At 44.7% G+C, this 22,152-nt stretch overlaps 1 long non-coding RNA gene across 6 annotated transcripts in view, besides 4 other annotated features; it reads right to left on the bottom strand.

Moving 5' to 3' along the window:
- LOC107985436 (uncharacterized) overlaps window positions 1-22,152 on the bottom strand; it is a 34,006-nt gene that overhangs the window by 8,103 nt on the left and 3,751 nt on the right. For 3 of the 6 annotated variants that reach the window (XR_007067621.1, XR_001754651.2, XR_001754650.2), the window contains exons 1-2: window positions 20,427-20,794; window positions 1,580-2,353 (exon numbers count right to left, since the gene is read on the bottom strand). This is a non-coding gene — a long non-coding RNA (uncharacterized LOC107985436). Of the gene's footprint in view, window positions 1-1,579; window positions 2,354-20,426; window positions 20,795-21,250; window positions 21,707-22,152 lie in introns of those variants that run through there. The other 3 variants (XR_007067623.1, XR_007067624.1, XR_007067622.1) reach the window with 2 other exon arrangements.
- Window positions 6,471-6,971: an enhancer, noted in NCBI's record as "H3K4me1 hESC enhancer chr20:46634734-46635234 (GRCh37/hg19 assembly coordinates)". NCBI's record gives its function as "activates a minimal SCP1, AML or CMV promoter by ChIP-STARR-seq in naive H9 embryonic stem cells {active_cell/tissue: H9 hESC(naive)}" and the evidence as "EXISTENCE:reporter gene assay evidence [ECO:0000049][PMID:30033119]".
- Window positions 9,973-10,022: an enhancer, noted in NCBI's record as "active region_18012". NCBI's record gives its function as "activates an Ori minimal core promoter by ATAC-STARR-seq in GM12878 lymphoblastoid cells {active_cell/tissue: GM12878}" and the evidence as "EXISTENCE:reporter gene assay evidence [ECO:0000049][PMID:35858748]".
- Window positions 10,033-10,202: an enhancer, noted in NCBI's record as "active region_18011". NCBI's record gives its function as "activates an Ori minimal core promoter by ATAC-STARR-seq in GM12878 lymphoblastoid cells {active_cell/tissue: GM12878}" and the evidence as "EXISTENCE:reporter gene assay evidence [ECO:0000049][PMID:35858748]".
- Window positions 19,389-19,889: an enhancer, noted in NCBI's record as "H3K27ac hESC enhancer chr20:46621816-46622316 (GRCh37/hg19 assembly coordinates)". NCBI's record gives its function as "activates a minimal SCP1, AML or CMV promoter by ChIP-STARR-seq in naive H9 embryonic stem cells {active_cell/tissue: H9 hESC(naive)}" and the evidence as "EXISTENCE:reporter gene assay evidence [ECO:0000049][PMID:30033119]".

The raw sequence follows: 22,152 nt of genomic DNA, 5'->3' as shown, positions 1-22,152 counted from the left end.
GGGAGGGAGTCTGGAGTCAGTGGCAAATATTCAAATATTCCCCTCTTGATGTCTCAGCAGACAATGAGGGACACATTCTACATGGTTTCTGAGAGGGTCTCCAGTGGATTGAGCCTAGTTGTCCACCTGTGTACCCAGTTGTCTATTGGTGCATAGCCAACCACCTCAAAACTTTGTGACATAAAACAAGAACCAGTTTATTCTGCTCGTTGACTCTGTGAGTCAGAAAATCAGATAAGACATAGCCCTAATGTGTGTGAGGCCTCTGCTGGAAAGAGTTGAAATACTGCCAGCAACTCAAATCACTAGAGGCTTGAATCATGACAGAATTCTTCAATCACTTGTGTAATGTCTGCCTGCAATGGCTCACAGATTAGCCTTGGCTAGGACTCCCCAGCAGAGGGCCTAAATGTAGCCTCCTCACGTGGCTTGGGCTTCCTCCCAGCATGGCAGACTTCAGGCATGGTAGCTCAGGATTCCAAGAGCAAGTGTTTTAGCAAATAAGATGGAAGCTAAATGATCTTTTATGACCAAGCCTTGGAAAATCACATAGCATAACTTTTGCTAGCCGGAAGAGTCACAGGAAAGGAGAGGGGGCATAGAGCCCACCTCTAGATTGGAGGAGCATCAAACATCTGCAGCCATATTTTAAAACTGCCACACAGTAACTAACTCAAAATGCATCCTTGTATTAGCTTCTTCTCTTTCTCTATTTCACTATTCCCAGTCCTTCCATTCCAGTTCCTGGGATTGCTTCCATAATCTATCTGAACCCAAGCCCTTGACTCAGGCTCTGCTTGTGGGAGAACCCAAGCAAAGACACTCCCCATAGCTTCAACCTGAAACAATTTGGGGACCTTCCAGGTTTGCAAGATGTGGTTTGGTTTAGGCATAAATGAGTTCTAAGTTGAGTTCACTTCGATTGGAATTTCTAATGGTCATTGGAGCAAAGGAAAACACCCCAAAATCTGACATAGTCACACACTCTTTCTTTCATAGGACTACTTGGGTTTTCCAGTTTTATTTCTCTCCCCCTTAGCAGCTGCTTACTTTTACTGGACAGAATAATTCATGGGAGAGCTTTATAATAACCTTTAAATTCTCTACTTTATGAAGAGAAAGAACAATAATAAATGCATGAATATTAACACAGGTGAATGTTTCCCCTCTCTTTTGATTTGGCTTCATAAACCCTGTGACATGGCAGGATTTGGATCAACTCAAATTGTATCAAATCTAAGTGGTCTCACTTTTTAAAAGTCCTCTGAGAATTCACATATATTTTCTCTACAGGTGATTCATTTTTCTCCCATCCACTTTGAACATATAAAATTCAGAATATATCAAGCATAGCATCGATTTATTTCAAAATTCACCATTAACTAGGACCATTTTTAGACCCTGTGTTCTTGCCCTTCCCTAAAAGTAGCCTGCAGCATTTTCATAATAAAAAGCAGTTAGCATGCTTAAAATCTTGAATGAATTAGAAATTATTTCCAAGAAATCCATGGTCGATTTATAGGCAATAAGCTTTTTTTTTTTTTCATTTGAGGTGTGCTTTACAAAAGCATTTTCCTACCTCCTTCAACTCTGGGTGACGGCTGTTGATTCCGATTGTGGCTGAAACCATGATGATGAAGATAATAATGATGCTGCTGATGGCAGAGGTGGTGATGGTGATGATGAAGTTGATGCTGCTGCTGATGGTGGAGGTGATAATAAAGTTGAGGGTGATATTGATGATGGTGGCTGTGTTGGTAGTGATGGTGAAGGGGATGGTGATATTGATGGTGATTGTGGTAATGATGAAAGTGAGGGTGATATGATGGTGATTTGTGGTGGTGGTGATGATGAAGGTGGTATTGATGGTGGTTGTGGTGGTGGTGATGATGAAAGTGATGGTGATATGGTTGATGGTGGTTGTGGTGATGATGAAGGTGATGGTGATATTGACGATGGTTATGGTGGTGGTGATGATGAAAGTGATTGTGAGATGGTGGTTGTGGTGATGAAGGTGATGGTGATGATGAAGGTAATGGTGATATTGATGGTGGTTGTGGTGCTGGTGGTGATGATGAAAGTGATAGTGATATTGATGATGATGGTGGTGGTGATGAAGGTGATGGTGATATTGATGGTGGTTGTGGTGGTGGTGATGATGAAGGTGATGGTGATATTGATGGTGGTTGTAGTGGTGGTAATGAAGGTGATGGTGATATTGAGAATGGTGGTTGTGGAGGTAGTTACGTGAAGGTGATGGTGATATTAATGATGGTGGTTGTAATGGTGATGACGATGAAAGTCATGGTGATATTGATGAAGGTGGTGGTGCTGGCTTCTCACGTGGGAAACACTGATTGAAGATAAAAAGTATTAGCTGTGGATAGTTCATTGAAAAATACAAAATATTCCTTTCACATTCCTGGTGCATCTGGTTACACTTTTAACCTCATTGAAGTATTCACAGGTAATCACGAAAGATCCCAATTTGAGAACCTTAACCACAGAAACACCTGAACCCAGATGAGTCCTTCCAGACAACAGTGCAGGTCACGTCACTGGGTCAGGGTTTCCTTGGATGGGATTGAAGAGGTGGTTACCATGCAGATCTCTAGGAGAATGCATTGCTTCAGCTCAAGAGGAAGCATTAGGGATTCCTCAGTTGGGTCAACTGTGGAGTAACTTAGGAAAAGAAGTCCCTGTTTGAAGACACCATATAAACGAATCTCTCTCTTGAAAAAATGAGACTTTGATATGGTTTGGGTTTATGTCCCCACCCAAATTTCAAGTCAAATTGTAATCCCCATTGTTGGAGGTGGGGCCTGGTAGGAGGTGATTGGAACCTGGGGGCAGACTTCCCCTTTTGGTGTTTTTGTGATAGAGCTCTTGTGAGATCTGATTGTTTAAAAGTGTGTAGCACCTCCTCCCCACCTTCCTCCTTCTCTGGACATGTAAGACGTGCCTGCTTCCCCTTTGCCTTCCACCATGATTGAAAGTTTCCTGAGGCCTCCCCAGCAGCCGAGCAGATACCAGCATCATGCTTCCTGTACAGCCTACAGAACAGTGAGCACATTGAACCTCTTTTCTTTATAAATTACCCAGTCTCAGGTAATTTGCTTTTTATAGCAATGCAAGAGCAGACTAATACAGCCTTTCTTTATCTGCCCTCAGTGGAAACTGACTAAGGAACACATCACATCACATCACATCACATCACATCACATCACATCACAAGCAGATGTCAACCTTCACAAAAGCATCTCAGGCTACACTCATCTGGTGAAGAATTTTCCTCGCCATTTGTGAGAAGGACCACAGGACCTCCTGCACCATCATGCTTTCATCTAAAGCAGACCAGCCAGGTTCATAAGTCATCTGCACAAGCCTGGCCAGTGTACAGTGACCTGCTTCAATGCGGATGACCACAAGGAAGACGTACATGAAGAGTCAGCTCACCTGGGAGCCACCAAACCCCATTTTCCTTTTCTTTTCTTCCAAAATAAATGAGTAACTCATGCAGCAGTTTCACTCATTATCAAAGGCAAGAAAGAGACAGGGATAGAAGTGAATACATTAATCAAACTCAGCTCACAGACCTACTCCCTTCTTCAGTTAGAGCCTGTAATTTGGGTGCTGTGATTTTTGAAGTCAGTGAAATGCTAAATAGAAGCATGTCAGCTGGTATCAAATAGATCCTCAAAATAACATTGCTGGGAATGGATCCTTTGATAAAATACTCCTTAAAAGTTTCAAGATACATTTTTTTTACAAAAAGAAATTGGCAGAATTTTCTTCTAGTTTCCAGCTTTACAAGGATGATTTTCATTCCAAAATGTTTTTAAGCTTGCAAAATATCTTACTTCTTTCACTCCCCCTATACTGAGTTGTCTCTTTTGCATTTCGCAGTTAATTTTAAATCTGAGATGGATGACTTCTTTGGTGCTGAGTCACTGGAACAGAAATGGCCTAATTTTCTATTGCATGTGAGCAAAATGGGGCGTCTGAGGCTTGTATATGGGCAACATGAAATATCCCTTAAGAGACTGAAAACTACAAACTCTGCTAGCCAAAAGAATCTCTGATGTTCTCCAAGCATGGTTTTTCTCTTGTAGGTTTTTCCTGGCAATAAAAAGGGAGGGTTTTTTTAAATTAAATACTTAATACAAAAGCTAAGTATTTTTATCTTCCCAGCTAGACCATATGTGCTATGAATTTAGCATCTGATTTTTAACTGTCCTAGTGCCATTCACTATCCTTTGAATCTGAGAACAAGTCCTTGGTAAATTCTTACTGACAGCTTGATTAATACCTCTGAGAATCAGGAGATGACAGATTTGGGTGTGAACTGGGATCATTGAAAAAGAAGGAAAAGCCTTGCTTTCATTAAAAACAAAGTAGCTGTTATGGACCAGATTGGATTCCCCTCCAAATTCATATGTGAAGTCCTAACCCCCAGGACCTCAGAATGATGTATTTGGAGACAGGGTCTTCAAAGAGGTAATTAAGGTTAAGTGAGGTCATTTGTGCCAGCCCCAAATCCAACAGGACTAGTAATATGGTTTGGATCTTGCCCAAATTTCATGTTGAATTGTAGTCCCCAGTGTTGGAGGTGGGACTTGGTGGGAGGTGATTGGATTATGGAGGTGTTTCTCATGAATGGTTTAGCGCCATCCCTGAGGTGCTGTTGTTGTGATAGTGAGCGAGTTCTTGTGAGATCTTGTCATTTAAAAGTGTGTAGCGCCTGCCTCTTCTCTCTTGCTCCTGCTCCCACGTGAGGTGCCTGTTCTCCCTCTGCCTCCCACCATGACTGGAAGCTTCCTGAGGCCTCCCCAGAAGCCCAGCAGATGCCAGCATCATGCTTCCTGTACAGCCTGCAGAACCGTGAGCCAATTAAACCTCTTTTCTTTATAAATTACCCAGTCTTGGGTATTTCTTTACAGCAATGTGAGAACAGACTAATACAACCAGCATCTCAAAGAAGAGAGGACACAGACACGTGCAGAGGATGTAGGGAGCAGATGACCATCTCCAAGCCAAGGAGAAAGGCTTCGGAAGAAATCAACCCTTCTACCCTCCAGAATGCCGAGGAAATACATTTCTTGTGTTTAAACCACCCAGTCTTTGGTAATTTGTTACGGCAACCCTTGAAAATGAACACAACCACTATCTTCCCTTTCGCTGTGGTTCCATTCTCTGAGAACTGATATTGCTTATTCACATGCAATCCGCGAGTGAAATATGACATGTTTTTACATCAAAGTCAAGGATGAGAGACATTTGAACTTGAGCTTAAATGTTCAATTTGTACCTGGCCAGATAGAGTGTCTGTAAAATGCATTGTCCCCAAACAGTTTCAAATGATTTATAATCCCAACGTGAAAAAAGGAAGTGGCCTTCTTACATTAGTATTTGAAATACTTTCCAACTCCCACCAAAAAAGTAACAGGCAGTTAGATCATATCTCAAAAACTAATCTGAGCAGAAATGTCAAGCCCTGAACCGGCCAGCCTCTCTATTAGGAAGCAGATCTGGAGAGACAAGTGCTTGCCACCTGCTTCTCTCATATTACCTAAACTTTGTAATAAGAGTATGGAACTTCGAAAAAAAATAATGCATTAAAATGAGAAAACATAGAATAACCCATACTGAGTTCATGCTGAGCACGGAGCCCACTCATTGCCCCTCAGTCATTGCTTCCCTCCCTCCACTTCAATGGTCACAAACCTTCAGCTCTCCTTAAAGCTCTTCCTCTCTGCCGGCTTTTCCAGATCTCCAAAGCTCCCTCTCCTCCCCTGGCTGGCACCCTGTGCTCCCAAAGCCTGGACTGGGCCTGGAAGGGACCTTCTCCTCTGTTCTCCTCCACTTTCCCCCTGCAGCCTGGGGCAAAAGTGTCGGGAGAAGGTACAGATGCCTCAGCTTGTTGTTCCCCAACTCCTTCCCCAGTACTTGGATCCCTTCTCTGCCTGGGGCTCCCTGTTCCAGAACTGGCCCCTGAGAATCGCATCTCCGGGGCTCCCTGCCCTCTGGCGTCCAGTTATGTTCAGCCAAGGGGACTCTTCCCTGGAGGTCAAAGGCAGGAGGGGAAAGGTCAGAGTGCCTCTTCCCTACTCTCCCTGTGGTGTGACCTTCCCTGCAGGGCTCTCCCTGGGCTACTCATGCACTCTCCTCCACCCACCCCTCCAGCCCTGGGCTCTGGGCAGCTCCATCTCTTGCTGGTCCCCAGGTGCTTTCATCATTTAGCAGTTCCCTTAATTCTGCCACAAACCCCTGCAGCGCATGCCTCTGTTTCCCATTGGGGCTGGGTCTGAAAAAAACTGCTAGACCAAGGCCAGGCACGTGACTCATGCCTATAATCTCAGCACTTTGGGAGGCCGAGGAGGGCGAATCACTTGAGGTCAGGAGTTTGACAACAGCCTGGCCAACATGGCGAAACCCTGTCTCTACTAAAAATACAAAATTAGCCAGGGCTGGTGGTGCACGAGTGTAATCCCAGCTACTTGGGAGGCTGAGGCACGGAATCACTTGAACCTGAGAGGCAGAGTTTGCACCGAGCTGAGATCAAGCCACTGCACAAACCAGAGCCCAGGAAACAATCAGGAACTGAGTCCCTGACCCAAAGGGGGCTCAGCAGAGAGGAACCGGAGTCTGCAGCCCTGGGTGCCACAACTCTGGTTCCTGCCACAGAAACCAACGATGCCACACATGGCCACCCCCCATCCCCAGTCCTGCGCCTCATTGGCCCTGTGCACACAATGCCACGGGGTGCCCCAAACCACAACCTTCCCTGGGGCTCGGCTTCTGCAGCTGAGCCAGGCTAAGAGCAGCAGGGAGGGGTACAGGCTCTCCTTGGAACCCTGACTCGGCCCCTTCCAAGCTGTGTGACTGTGGGGAGGTTATTTGCCCTCTCTGGTCTCAGTCTCCTACCCTTTAAAATGGGTGGCATGATGGCCCTGCCTCATCGGGTGGGAGGGGCTTCAGTGAGATACTGCATACACAGTGTTCAGATCCAGACCTGCACAGGACGGGCTCAGTAAACCCAAGCTCTGGGGATTTCCCTGTGCCTGGGACGACCTGCCTGGCTTGCCTTCTGCAGCCCAGGCCTCTCTGTAGACTGTGGACACTGCATAGATTTCTTCCACGCATACATATTCTCCTCAACCCCCGCTCCAGCCCACATTCCTCCCTTTAAGGAAATTCTATGTCCTGCGGTCAGTGTCTACACCCCTGCCTCACCACCACTCACCCCGGCACTCCCACTGGGCTTCCCAGCCCTGCTCCCCAAAGCCTCTCCTATGGAGCTCCCTGTGCTCCCCCTAAGGACCCGCCCAGTCCCTCCTGGGTGTCCACAGAGGGTGGTCCTGGGCCGTCGTTCCTCCTGGTCTACCCCTCTGCTACTGTCTGAAGGTGTCTCCTGAAATTCTCATGTTAAAACCCAATTGCCAACGTGATAGTGTTAAGAGCCGGGGCCTTCAGGAGGTGATTCCAGCATGAGGCCAAGCTCCTGGATGTGACTGGCACCCTTCTACCCATTTGGACACAGACAGCAGCCCTCACCAAACACTGAACCTGTCAGCGCCTTTGTCTTGGACTTCCCAGCCTCCAGAACTGTGAGGAATAAAGTTCTATTATTTATAAGCTACCCAGTCTCAGGCATATTGTCATAGTAGCAGGAATTGATGAAGGCCCCCTTCTTGTTCCCATGCTCAGCCAGGCTTTCTCTGCCACCCTTGTCCTCTTCTTCTCCTGCTCCTAAATCCAGGGGGTCCCTCCATTGAGTCTGCCTCTCGCTCACTCTGCTTCCCCTCCTGGGGGTCTCAGCCCCCCTTAGACCACAGACACATGGGGTCACAGACACACAGGGGACTCCTTAGCCACACCAGCCAACCACTCTCCTGGCTTCAGACCTGCAGGTCCACATGGGTGTCCCATGGCACCTTCAACTCAGCCCGATAAATTCACCCCCAAATGTAGGCTCTTTGGGGGTCACCGCCTCAGTGACTGGTGACCCCGTCCCTCCAGGCCCATCCAGAACCCTGGGCAGCTCTCTTATCCCCTATCTCCTCCCTCTCCCTCTTGTCTCAAACCCAAGTCCTACTGAGTTGATTGCTAAATGGCTCTTGGCTCTGTTCTATTCCTTCCTCCTCTGCCATCACCCTGCTAGCTCAGGTGACCATCCTTTCTCACCTACATGATGGCCTCACCCACCTCACAGACCACCCTGGCCCTGGGCAGCCCCTCCTCCTCATCCCCCATACCATGGACAGAGGGACCTTCTATGGTCACGTCACATCCCTGCTAACCTCACTGAGGTCTCCCACTGCATTTAAAGACACCCCCAGTGCCACATGTGGCTGAGAAGGCCCTGCCACTGTCTGCCCCTACAGCCCCAACCCCTGCCTTCTTCCCTTGTCATCCTCACCCTAACACTCGGCTTAAACCCCACTGAACTTCACTCAGGTTCTCCAACTTGCTGCACCATCTTTGCCTCCAGGCCTTTGCACATGCCATTCCCCTGCCTGGAACTCCTTTTCCTGCTCTTTTTGCCTGTCTGAGTCCTCATCATCATGAAGTCAGCACAGCCACATGCTCTCCTGGAAGCCTGTCCTGGGTTTGCCCCTCCTACCTGCTCCCATAACAGCTGAGCTGCCCAAACACACAGACAAGTCACTCACTGCTGGGCACTTCTCATTTCCACAAGCAAAGGACAGTGACCTCATAGTAAACTACTGAAGGAGCAGCTGTTGGTTCTCCCTGCCCATCTTCCCATCTTCCATCTACAATTTTTTTCCATATAATTCCGTTTTTCCTTGAGAAAGCCTCTCTTCCTTTCCCCAAATCCATGTGGCAGTTCCCAGGGCTGGTCCACTCCCGGTGGGCCTGTGACCCAGGTCTGGCCCATCCGTGTACCACATCTTCCTAGCCACAGCAATTGACTTAGGATGGAATGTGACCCAGCCTGGCCCAAGGATTACCCTGCCTGAGAACAGTTGGCAAGAAGACCCTCTTTCTGGTAGGGCTGAAAGGGCTGAAAGAAGATACACCTGGTGTTCCATTTACTGCATAACAAATTGTTCCAAAATCAAAGAGCTCAAAATAACTATTTCATTATTCCATGGGTCCCGTGGGTCCAGAATTCAGACAGAGCAAAGCAGAGTGGTTTGTCGCTACACCACAATGTCCAATGCCTCAGCTAGGAAAAATCAAACACAGGGAACCATCTAGAAGCCTCTTCACTCAATCTGGTAGTTGCTGCTGGCAATCAGCTGGGCCCTCAGTTGAGGCTGTCAACCTCAGCACCTCCATGTGGCCTCTTCATACAGTCTGGGCTTCCTCCTAGCATGGCGGCCTCAGGACAGTAGGACTTACATGTCAGCTCAGGCTTCCAAAGGCAAGTGTCCCCAAACACAAAGCAAAAGCTGCACTGCTTTTTCTGACCTAGTCTCACAAGTTGTGCAGCATCATTCTCACCTCTATATACTGGTTTCCAATGAGTCACAAGCCTGTCCAGCATGAAAGAGAGAGGACATAGACTGACTTCTCAGTAGGAGGAATATCAAGGCCACGTTGTAAATGAGTGCCTGAAACAGGGGATATTGTTGTAGCCATCTTTGAAAAATAGAAGCTATTGCCATAGCTGGTGCTTGCAAAAGGAAAGAGGCTTTCTACTGATGAAGCCAACACAGAGGAAAGTAGAGGCATAAGAAGGGAGGGACCCAATGCTAATAATGTCATGTGAGCACCTGGATCCATCCATGCCTGAAGCGAGACATCCTGGATCTTGTACATGAACCAATAATTTATCTTTTTAACCTAAGAGCTATATTTCAACCATTCACAACCAAAGGAGTCCTGATTAGTAAAGAAGCAGCACAATGCAACAGGTAAGAGTGTGCTCTTTGGAACCAGAAAGCCCAGGTTTGAATCCTGGTGCTTCCTGTTCAAGCTGTTTAGCTTTGGAAACAGGTTCTCAGTGGCCTGGTTTGCACCACCTGCCTATCTTTTGAAACTAGCCCAAATGTCCCATAGAGCTGATGCTTAGGGTTTTTCTGAATGAACATAAAACCTGATCCTCCCTGTTTGGTCTCAAAGCTTGAGAAAGTTACATTTGTCTTATCTGAGTTCTTTCTCAGGAAACCAACCATCAGGCCTCCCAGATAGTAACAAGGAACTGAAACTCACCAGATGACTACATTTAGACAATGAAACACCAGACCCCTCACCCATGTCTGCCTAAGCCATCACTTGCTCCCTATTGAGCAACTCCTCTTCCTTACCCCTCCCTATTTCCTGTCTTCCCATACATGGTTACATTTTGTACCTGCTATGTAAACTCCTAATTTTCGTTAGTCAAGGAGACGGATTTGAGGCTGATCTCTCATCTCCTTGGCTGAAGCAGCTGATTAAAGTCTTCTTCCCTGACAATACTCCTGCAGCATCTGATTAAAGCTTTCTTCCCTGACAATACTTGTTGTATCAATGATCGGCTTTCTGTGTAGCAAGCAGCAGGACCTAGACTGAACCCCTGGTGTTTCAGCAACACTTTAACCACTTGATTCACAGAAACCATCAAACTGCATGCAGAGATAGGCAATTTCTTAATCGAACCATGAAAGAAAAGAATGATAATTCAAACTCACTAAAATTCAGAAGTTCTATTCATCAAAAGCATCATTAAGAAAGTGGAAGGGAGTAAAAAGGCAAATCTCAGATGGGAAGAAGACATTTGTAATACCGTATACTTGACAGTGACTTGTATCTAGAAGATACAAAGAATTCCTAAAAATCAGTAAGAAAAAGGCAACCCAATTAGATAAGGAACAAAGGATTTCAACAAACCTTAACAAAGGAGGAGATCTGAACATCCAATAAACATGTAAAAATATTTTTCATGTCATGACTCCTAAGAAAAATGCAAATTAAAGCCATAATGAGATACGTCCACACATCCACCAAATAGCTACAATGTCAAAAGACAGACAATACCAAGTGTTAGCAACGGCGTAGGACAACTGTTAACTCCCATGCTGTTGATGGGAATGCAAGTCACTACAGCCACAGTGAAAAATGTCTGGAAACATCTACTAAAGTTAAATAAATATCCACCTCCCCTATTACCCAGTCCTTCCACCCTGGGAACTTACCCGAGAGTAATGAGTATGTACATTCACCAGAAGACGTGTATGCATGTCCATGGCAATTGTATGCCTAATAGAAAAATATATTAGGCTGGCCGTGGTGGCTCACGCCTGTAATCTCAGCACTTTGTGGGGCCGAGGCAGGCGGATCATGAGGTCAGGAGATCGAGACCATCCTGGCTAACACGGTGAAACCCCGTCTCTACTAAAAATACAAAAAAATTAGCCAGGCATTGTGGCGGACGCCGGTAGCCCCAGCTACTCAGGAGGCTGAGGCAGGAGGATGGCGTGAGCCTGGGAGGCGGAGCTTGCAGTGAGCTGAGATCGCACCACTGCACTCCAGCCTGGGCGACAGAGCAAGACTTCACCTCAAAAAATAAATAAATAAATAATATTAAATATCCATTAGGAATAGAATGGAAAAGTAAATTGAGGTCTATGCATGCAGTGGAAAGCTATGTAACAATGAAAAAAAATGGACCACTGCTACAATAAACAGCATGGAGACATTTACTGATCCAGCAAGGAGCCAGGAAAGCCAGACACAGAGGACTAAATATGCTATGATCTTTTTTATAAGAAGTCCAAGGACAAGCAGGGCTAATCTCAAGACTAACCTATGGAAGTAGAAATCAGAGTAGTGGTTTATTGTGGGTGTGTGTATTAGTCCATTCTCACATGGCTATAAAGAAATACCTGAGGCTGGGTGAGGCGCGGGGCTCACACCTGTAATCCCATCACTTTGGGAGGCTGAGGTAGGCAGATCACCTGAGGTCGGGAGTTCGAGGCCACTCTGACCAATATGGAGAAATTCTGTCTCTATTAAAAATACAAAATTAGCCAGGTGTGGTAGCACATGCCTGTAATCCCAGCTACTCAGGAGGCTGAGGCAGGAGAATCGCTTGAACCCAGGAGGCAGAGGTTGCGGTGAGCCAGAGATTGTGCCGTCACACTCCAGCCTGGGCAACAAGAGCGAAACTCCGTCAAGAAAGAAAGAGAGAAAGAGAGAGAGAGAGAGAGAGAGAGAGAGAGAGAGAGAAAGAGAGAGAGACAGAGAAAGGGAGACAGAGACAGAAAGAGAGAGAGAGAGAGAGAAAGAGAGAGAGAGGGAGAAAGAGAGAAAGAGAGAGAAAGAAAGAAAGGAAGGAAGGAAGGAAGGAAGAAAGAAAGAAAGAAAGAAAGAAAGAAAGAAAGAAAGAAAGAAAGAAAGAAAAGAAAATAGAAAGAGGGAGGGAGGAAGGGAAGGAAGGAAGGAAGGAAGGAAGGAAGGAAGGAAGGAAGGAAGGAAGGAAAGAAAGAAAAGAAAGAAGGAAAGACCTGAAGCTGGGTAATTTATGAAGAAAAGAGGTTTAATTGGCTCATGGTTCTACAGGCTATCCTGGAAGCATAATAGCTTCTGCTTTTGGGGAGGCCTCAAGACTCTCACAAATATGGCAGAAGGCAAAGGGACAGCTGGCATGTCAAACGGCCGGAGCAGCAAGAGAGAGTGAGGGGAGCTGCCACACACTTTTAAACAACCAAATCTTATGAGAACTCACTCAGGACCGGGGGGGATGGGGCTAAACCATTCATAAAAACTCCACGCATCTCTCACTCATCTCCCACCAGGCCCCACCTCCAACACTGGGGATTACAATTCTACATGAGATTTGGTGGGGACACAGGCCCAAACCATATCGGTATGTGTTGAATCACAAGGGGTGTGAGGAAGCCTTCTGGCTGTTGGAAATGATCTGTATCTGCCCCTGAGAGTTGTCACATGTGTGTGTCCATGGAAAAGTGTACTGTGTTTATACTTAAGAAGTGATCGAACCTAACCTTAGATGCTCCCACTGAGATTCTTCTACTGAATCTGTGGTCTTTCAAGTTTAGCCATTCGGTGGATCTATATTTGTTCACAGTTACAGGTACTGTGAATCCTGTGACTATTACCATGTATAGTGTCGGTAGAATTGGCCTTAGGGCACCATATTGATGAGTTCCTCATAAAAAGACAATTATAGATGTCCCTCAGTATCCCTGGGAGATTGATTCTAGGACCCACCCACCCCCGCCCCCCACGGATATCCACAGATGCTAAAGTACTTTGTATAAAAAGACATAGTGTTTGCATGTAACCTATGCGTATCTTCCCATGTACTTTAAATCATTTCTAGGTTATGATACCTAACACAATGTAAATACTAGGTAAATAGTTTTTATACTATACTGACTTTTCAAATTTGTTTTCCTTTTTAACTTTGGTTTTTTTGTTTTAGTTTATTTAAATCCACATTCTGCATAACATATTGATTTTTTAATCTGTATTTTTAAATTGTTGGGTTTTTTTTTTCAAATGTTTTTTATTCACAGTCAGTTGAATCCACAGATACAAAACCCATGGATAGAAACAGCTGACTATACATCTTACTCACATTCTATGGCTGAAGTCCAGCTACAGGGTGCCCTTAGATGGGGGTGAGAGAAAATTAGCAAAGATCATGTGACCCAAGGTGGGGAAATCCAGCCCTCTTTATTTGGGCTTCAGCAAGAGCTGACCAAATCATCTCTTTTTTCCAACAAAGGGCATTTTTAAGTTTCATGAAGCCAGAACAGAGGAACTGAACTAAATAATAATGTTGGGTGTTTTTTTTTTTAAATAAAGAATGCTTCCTAGTGAATTCCATGCTGCCAATTCATGCCAACATTGAGGCCTACAGCATGGATAATTTGGACCTGCTGCTGAGAGGAGTAAGACTTTGTGGTAGCTGAGGGCAAGATTTCATAGACCTAGGATGCTCCTGGATCCTAAAAGGGAACTGTTGCAAGCATGCGCCAGCCAGGCCAGACCCCAACTGTGGTGGTTGCCATGGTGACAACACAATGGATTCATCAGGGAAAATGTGGCAACATCTCTGGTCTTAGGGAAGTGCTTGTGGTAATCAATTCCACCCTGGCCTCTTCAAGGGCAAGCCTAAACACAGTTAGGCAGAGATATTGAAGCGTTTGCTCTCCCTGCTCCGTCCCTTGGTCAAGTTATTTCTCGGTTCAGCAGGAGGCCAGGAGCTTCCCTGTAGACCATGCACACCCTGTTCTGCAGAGAGAAGCCGAGCATCCTCCCTGGAAGTACTCAGGCCCTACTCGGGTGCACAGAACCTTCAGTTCACAAAATGCGCCTGAGCTGCTCTTCCCACCAGCTTCGCTGAGGTTTGAAAGAGCCATATTAGTGTTCTTTTTTTATTCCTGTAAGACATATTATTTTCCCACCTTTCACACACACACACACACACACACACACAGGCATGCATGTGTGCACATCTATTTTCCAGAGAACAAGTGTTATCTGTTATGTCATTCAGCTAGAAGGAAGTTCACACAGCTTTTCACAGACCTGTCTTCAACTCACAGAAAAAAATCCCTTTCTGAACATCCCTGACACCTTCTCAGCCTCCCTTTTTGAGATGGAGTCTTGCTCTGTGGCCCAGGCTGGAGTGCAATGGCACGATCTCAGCTCACTGCAAGCTCCGCCTCCCCAGTTCACGCCATTCGCCTGCCTCAGCCTCCCGAGTAGCTGGGACTACAGGCATCCGCCACCACGCCTGGCTAATTTTTTGTATTTTTAGTAGAGATGGGGTTTCACTGTGTAAGCCAGGATGGTCTCGATCTCCTGACCTCGTGATCTGCCCGCCTTGGCCTCCCAAAGTGCTGGGATTACAGGCATGAGCCACCGTGCCCTGACCCCCGTCTTCTTAAATACCTGAGGGGTATGGCATATATCAGTTAGCATGTTTGGTGTTGCAAACAACAACAACAAAAATCAAACTGAACTAAACCTTAAAGGAAGCATTAGGTTTCTCCAGTTGAGGTAGAGGGCCTCAAATGGGTTTGATGAGTCTTGGCTCTGTTTCTTTGTACATCTCCTGCTCTGACTCCAATGCCAGAGACTTCATTCCCTCTGAATTTCCTCGTGGTCACAGACTACTGTTTGCATCCTCACTTTCCAGGAGGGAAAAAGCTTCTGTTTCCCAGCTGTGAATCAAAAGTCTTATCTTCCAAATCAATTAATGTAATCCATCACATCAACAGGCTAAAGAAGAAAAATCACATGATTATATCAATAGCTGCAGAAAAAGCACTTGACAAAATTCAACACTCATTCCTGATAAAAACTCAGTGAACTAGGAATAGAGAGGAACTTCCTCAATTTAATAAATAGCTACAAAATCCCACAGCTAACATCACACTTAATACCAAGAAACTCCACTTAGCTTTCCCACTAAGATCAGGAACAAGAAAAAGATGTTCCTTCTCCCCACTGCTTTTCAACATTGCACTGGATGTCCTAGATAATGCAAGTCCTAGCTAAGATAAGAAAAGGAAATAAAAGGCATATAGATTGGGAAGAAAGAAATAAAGCTATCTTTGCCTATAGATGGTCTGGATTGTCTATGCAGACACACTGAAATAATCAACAAAATAACTCCTAGAACTAATAAATTATTATAGTGAGGTTGCAAGATACAAGGTTGATATACAAAAGTCAATCACTTTCCTATTTAGCAGCAATGAACAAGTGGAATTTGAAATTTAAGATGCAATACCGTTCACATTAGCACTCTTCAAAATGAAATAGTTATAAAACTCACAAAATATGTACAGGTTCCATATGAGGAAAACTTCAAAACTCTGAGGAAAAGAACTTTTTAAGCTAAATAAATGGAGAGATAGTCCAGGTTCATAAATAGGAAGACTCAGTATTGTCAAGATGTCAGCTCTTCCCAACTTGATCAACAGATTCAATGCAATCCCAATCAAAATTCCTGCAAGTTATATTGAGGATATTGACAAACCGATTCTAAAGTTTTTATGGAGAAGTAAAAGACCCAGAATAGCCAGGCACGGTGGCTCACGCCTGTAATCCCAGCATTTTGGGAGGCCAAGGTGGGTGGATCACAAGGTCAGGAGATCGAGACCATCCTGACCAACATGGTGAAACCCCATCTCTACTAAAAATACAAAAAAAAAAAAAAAAAATAGCCAGGCATGGTGGTGTGCACCTGTAGTCCCAGCTACTTGGGAGGCTGAGGCAGGAGAATTTGCTTGAACGTGGGAGGCGGAGGTTGCAGTGAGCCGAGATCACACCACTGTACTTCAGCCTGGGCAACAAAGTGAGACTCTGTCTCAAAAAAAAAAAAAAAAAAAAAAAAAGAGACACAGAATAGCCAACACATAGTAAAAGAGAACAAAATTGGAGGACTCACACTACCTGACCTCAAGACTTACTGTAAAGCTACAGTAATCAAGACACTATGGTACTGGTCACATTGATAGATCAATGAAACAGAATAGAGAGCCCAGAAATAGACCCACATAAATAGAGTCAACTAATCTTTGACAAAGGAGCAAAACCAGTACAAATGAGGCAAAGACCTCTCAACAAATGGTGCTCCAACAACTGGACATTTACCTGAAAAAAAACAAAACAAAACAATGAACCTAGTCGCACAGTTTACATCCTTTACAAAAGTAACTCAAAATGGAACACAGACCTAAACATAAAATGCAGACTATAAAATTCCTAGAAGATAACATAGGAGAAAATCAAGATGACCTTGGGTTTGGTGATGACTTTATAGATGCACCAAAGGTATAATTCATGAAAGAAAGAATTGATGAGCTGAACTCCATTACAATTGAAATGTAATGCTCTGCAAAAGATACTGTCAAGAGAATGAAAAGGCAAGCCCCAGACTGGGAGAAAATATTTGCAAAAGACACATCTGATAAAGGACTGTTACCCAAAATATAAAAAGAACTCTTAAAACTAAACAATAAGAAAACAATCCAACTAAAAATGGGTCAAAGATCTTAAACTACACCTCACCAAAGAAGACGTACAGATGGCAAATAAGCATATAAAAAGATGCCCGCTGTAGTACGCAATTAGGGAAATGCAAATTAAAACAATGAGACTGGCCCCGGTGCCTCATACCTGTAATTCCAACACTTTGGGAGGCCGAGATGGGAAGATCCCTTGAGCCCAGGAGTTTGAGACCAGATTGGGCAATGTAGGGAGGCCTCGTCTCTATTAAAAAAAAAAAAAATTAGATACCAGTAACCACCTATTAAAATAGAGAAAATCCAAAACTCTGACAACAAATGCTGATGAGGATGTGGAGCAATAAGAGCTCTAATTTACTGCTGGCAGGAATGCAAAATGGTACAGCTACTGTGGAAGACAATTTGTCAGTTTCTTGCAAAACTAAACCTGCTCTTACCATACGATCCAGCAGCAGTCATGCCCCTTGCTATTTACCCAAATGAGTTAAAAGCTCATGTTCACAAAAAAAGCCCTGCTTATGGATATTTACAGCAGCTTCATTCATAGTTGTCAAAACTTAAAAGCAACCAAGATGTCCTACAGTAGGCAAATGGATAAATAAACTGTGATAAATCCAGATAATGGAATATTATTCAGCACCAAAAAGAAATGAGCAATCAAGACATGAAAAGACAAGAAGGAACCCTCAAAGCCTATGGCTAAATGAAAGAAACCAGCCTGAAAGGCCATGTACTATATGATTCCAACCATACAACATTATAGAAACGGCAAAACTATGACAGAAGATCAGAAAATTAGTGGTTGCGAGGGATTGGGGAAAGGGAGCAATGAACAGGTGTAGCACAAAGGATTTTTAGGGCAGTGAAAATACTCTGTGTAATATTATAAGGATGAACATATGTCACTGTACATGTATCCAAACCCATAGAATGTATAAAACGAAGAATGGAGCCTAATGTGAACTATAGTCTTTGGATGATAATGATGTGTCAATGTAGGTTCATCGATTTTAGCAAATGTGTCACTCTGGTGTGAGATGTTGATGGGGAAGATGTACAGGTGAGGGGGCCAGGGATATGTGAAAATCCTCCGAAACCTTCTGCTGATTTTGCTGTTAATCTAAAACTGCTCCAAAAAATAGTCTATTACAATTGAAAAAGTTCTGTCTTCACTCTGATTGGATCAATTCTGAACCAATTCCAGTGGCTAAGGGGAATACTGTGCATTCATTGGCTTAGCCCTGGGTTATGTGATCACCTGTGAACCAATCTCAGTGGCGAGGGGAACGTGATCCTGCCGTGGACCCATCTTCAGATCTCCAAATGTTTTCATGATGAAATATTTCACCTTTCTTAGTCAGTCTGGATGGTCTAGACTTGAAAAAGTAATTGACTCGTCTTCCAGCTCTCTTCCCATACACCTGAGTTAAACCAGACACTGTTAACTCCTAAGGATGGGGGCTGCAGGACTCACAGAGAAAATGGATGCAGAGAGCTGGCCTCCAGGGCCATCATGCTAACAGAAGAGGCAAAACACACGTGCTCACACAAGCACACTGTTCCACAGCAGCCAGGCCTATGCAAGCCTACCCTCAAAATTCCGAGGAAGCTGAAAGGATGAACAGAGAGGCTGACAAATCCAGTTTCTTAGGAAGAAACATGTAATAGGGATGTGCAAACAAAAGCCATGTCTGTCTCCTGGTTGGAGGTGAGACAAGGTGATGCATCCCCACACCATTACTCCCCAGACCCACAGGGAAGGGGTGATTCAGAAGGGATGTGTAGAACTATTGAAGTAAGATAACATCAAGGTTGTTTGAACTAAGGGCAGGATTTACAGTAAGTACCTGCTCTTACACAAGGAACAATAGATAAACTGAAAATCTTAGAAGTCTTCCTGAAACTGGGAGTAATCAGAAGCCAACATGGTGGATTCACTTCCGAAATGGAACTTCTCTGGCCTCCACATATGTACACATGTGCACGCACACACACACACACACACACCCTGCACACGTGCTCACAGGCACACACCCCAGTGCACATAGACATATGCACACACATACACCATGCACTTCTCTGGAAGAGAGGGGTCTAGGGAATAATCCACTTCCTGGAGACCCCCATGGCTCCACCATCACAATGTGGGTTGACAGTTTGAGGTATGTATTAGTCCACTTCTAAAAAATAAAGTTTTTTTTTTTCTTAATGGAGCTTCTAAACTGTTGCACAAAAAAAGGAGGCTAAGATGACGTCCAGCAAGAAAGTCATCTGTATAAAAAGATCTCTGTCATGAGTGGGGCCCAGAAGTCAGGGTAATGCCCAGGAAGGACCCCAGACAGACCAGAGGAGTCAAGTCCTGACGCCGAGTGCAGGGGCTCAGAAGTCAGGGTAATGCCCAGGAAGGACTCCAGACAGACCAGAGGAGTTGAGTCCTGATGCCGAGTGCAGGGGCTCATAGCCCAGCCTCCCTGCAGGACCTCACTCACTGAGGTACCCACCCCAACAACAGGGCAACTCCAAGGGCCCCTTGCACCTCAATATTCCATGAGGATCTCCAATGTTGAGTTTCCAAGGGCAATTAGTGAGAAAAGAGAAAACAAGAAACCAGTCAGGCAGGCAGTTAGGGTGGGTCCTCAGTTGAATTCTTTCAAACAAAGGAACAGCCTGATAACTCGAGCTACAGGCACAGATAAGGGAACTTGCACAGGGGAGCTTGCCTGAGACATGCTTACGTCTGCACAGGTAATAAAGGCTACACAGGTGACTTGCCCGGACATGCCCATAATGGAAAATTCCATCCGCTAACACATAAACAGTAAGAAGAACAAACAATATGAAGTAACTCAAGCTAAGGGGCCACAGGTGCATTAGGAGGATGGGGTGGAGCTACCAGAAATTCGAGCCTTACACAAATGAGATGCCCAGCCCTCATCAGTTTCTTATAAAAGCCTTTGCATTCAACTGTAAAAACGGCAACCCTCTTTCAGGCTCCGTCTCTGTGGCAGAGAGCTTTCTTCTTTTACTTATTAAACTTTCACTCCAACCTCACCCTTTGTGTCCATGCTCCTTAATTCTCTTGGTCCTGAGACAAAGAACTCTGGATGAGATCAATTGGAAAGATAGTAACATTTGGAAATGACATGCTACCTAGGGAGGTCTTTACTCTCCAAGCCTAAAGAAAATATTGTGCTTACTTCTCCAACCTCCGCTGCCACAGTTTTTGGCCAGGGATGGAGTGAGGTGGAGGGTTGTGCTTTGGGTGAATAGAGGCACAGAATGAAAAATAAACTACTTTTTGAAGCTTTGCATCTGTTTGTACCTACAGTCACTTTGTTTCTAAACTCAAAAATCCCTTTTACAAAGAAAAACACTAAGCCTTGTAATTAGGGCTTTTCAAACCAACTCAGCTCCCCATTACAGGGCCAACTGCACACGAACTTGAGAATGGTTGTAGAGTGTAGCAGATACCTGGTGCCAAATGTGATGGTAACAAGAGTCCAAGTTGACTGATCTCTCTGGCGAAGAGATGAGTCTGCTGAAAATGGCATTTATCAGTGATGTGGGCGTGTCATTCAGTCCCATTTTCAAGGGTTTATTTTTGTGGTTTTGCTGCCTGCTTAAAGTGATTTGCTGGTGCCGTCTTTTAGTCCTCTCCCTCCCTGCCTGGAAGGTGATGTAGATGTATTTGCACTCCCAGCAGGAGACACAACCCTTGGCAAAAGAAACTCCCAGCATAGGATAAGCAGTTCCAAGCTCTGGCTCTGAAAGTCATGCAGGCTGTAGCATGAATCCCATGGCAGAGCACCAGAGAAGAATGTGCCTGCAGCTTTTGCAGCCCTGAGGCTTCCTCCTCCTCCAGAGAGGGGGATAGTTCCCGCACTCCCACTCTCCCATCTTATAAGTCGCAGAGTCAGAGGCTGGTCCTAACTCTGGCGGTGGACTGGGGGTGAGTCTGCATGGAGTCTTCTGCCATTTGTAGGGGGGCGGTGAGAGAGCACACTTCCATGTAGACTCTTCACCCTCGACTTCACCTGGGAGTCTCACATTCTGGCCACTTACACTGCACTCGCATATTTCAGAATGCTTCCTCTAAATTCTTCTGATTATTGTCTTAATACTGCCCATGTCAACATATTATTGAAACAGATTATTGCAAAGATATCACTTCAGGAGAATGTGCTTAGGGGTAACAGCTACATCCCAGCTTTTCTTCCCCTGCCCCCAGCTCTATTTCCCATCACTACCATGTTATAGCCCTCAGGGGGACTTGGTTAAATATCCAAGGATCTCACCGCTGATAAATCCTAAAACATTGCTTAGAGACATATTATATAGAAGCCAAGAGGACAACTGTCTTATTCTCCGAGAGCTGCAGGCAATCTTCTCCTTGTCCCATAACAGATTTCTAGTTAATAGATAACATTGCCAATTGTCAGAAAATAGGTGGCCCCTCTGGGACAGGTCCACAGCCCTTTCCTGGCTTGGCTGCATTCATCAAGCTGAGTTTTGTCTCTCAGCGGTGTCACATCCAAGTTAGTGTCTCTGCTTGCTGCTTCCTCAGTTATCTCCTTGAAACAAATTTCTTTAAATTGACTCTGCAGAATACCATTCCAGAACTTGCCATCATGTCTAATGAATATAAATTTCTGTAACAATTTTCAAAATTGGCCACCAGCATCATGGGTTCTCAGCATCCACATTATAAATTTCAGAGGCTTCCAGACCTGCATATCTCGTCACTGAATAGATCCGAGCTTAAAATCAGAAGAACTGAATCATCATGCACTCTGAGGCTTCAAGAAACATTTAATCCGGGTAACCAACACACAGTAATAAAAACACTTTTATCATCACTTTATGATATTAACTTGTAAGGATGCTCAATTAAAAACCTATTGATTGATCAAACATTTAGCCCTTTGAAAAGTATTTTTTAACAATTGCTTTGTGCAAAACACTGTTAGGTGTGATGAAGTGTCCACAGAACCATAATACAATTCAATTAAATGAGGCAAATAATGATGAGTTCCTGCCATGCATGAAGAATTCTGCTAGATTGCGTGATCCAGAAGTGAGCAAAATGCAGATCTTATCGCTGTCAAGATGACAGAGTAAAGTGATGTATCCACTAAATCAGTAACTCTAATGTAATAACTTTGTGCTAAATAGGAGATGAGTTCACACTGGACACAGG

The sequence above is a fragment of the Homo sapiens genome, chromosome 20, assembly GCF_000001405.40.
Source record: "Homo sapiens chromosome 20, GRCh38.p14 Primary Assembly".
NCBI lineage: Eukaryota > Metazoa > Chordata > Mammalia > Primates > Hominidae > Homo > Homo sapiens.
The sequence above is the reverse complement of the archived record's forward strand: the minus strand, read 5'-3'. Positions and strand labels throughout refer to the sequence as shown.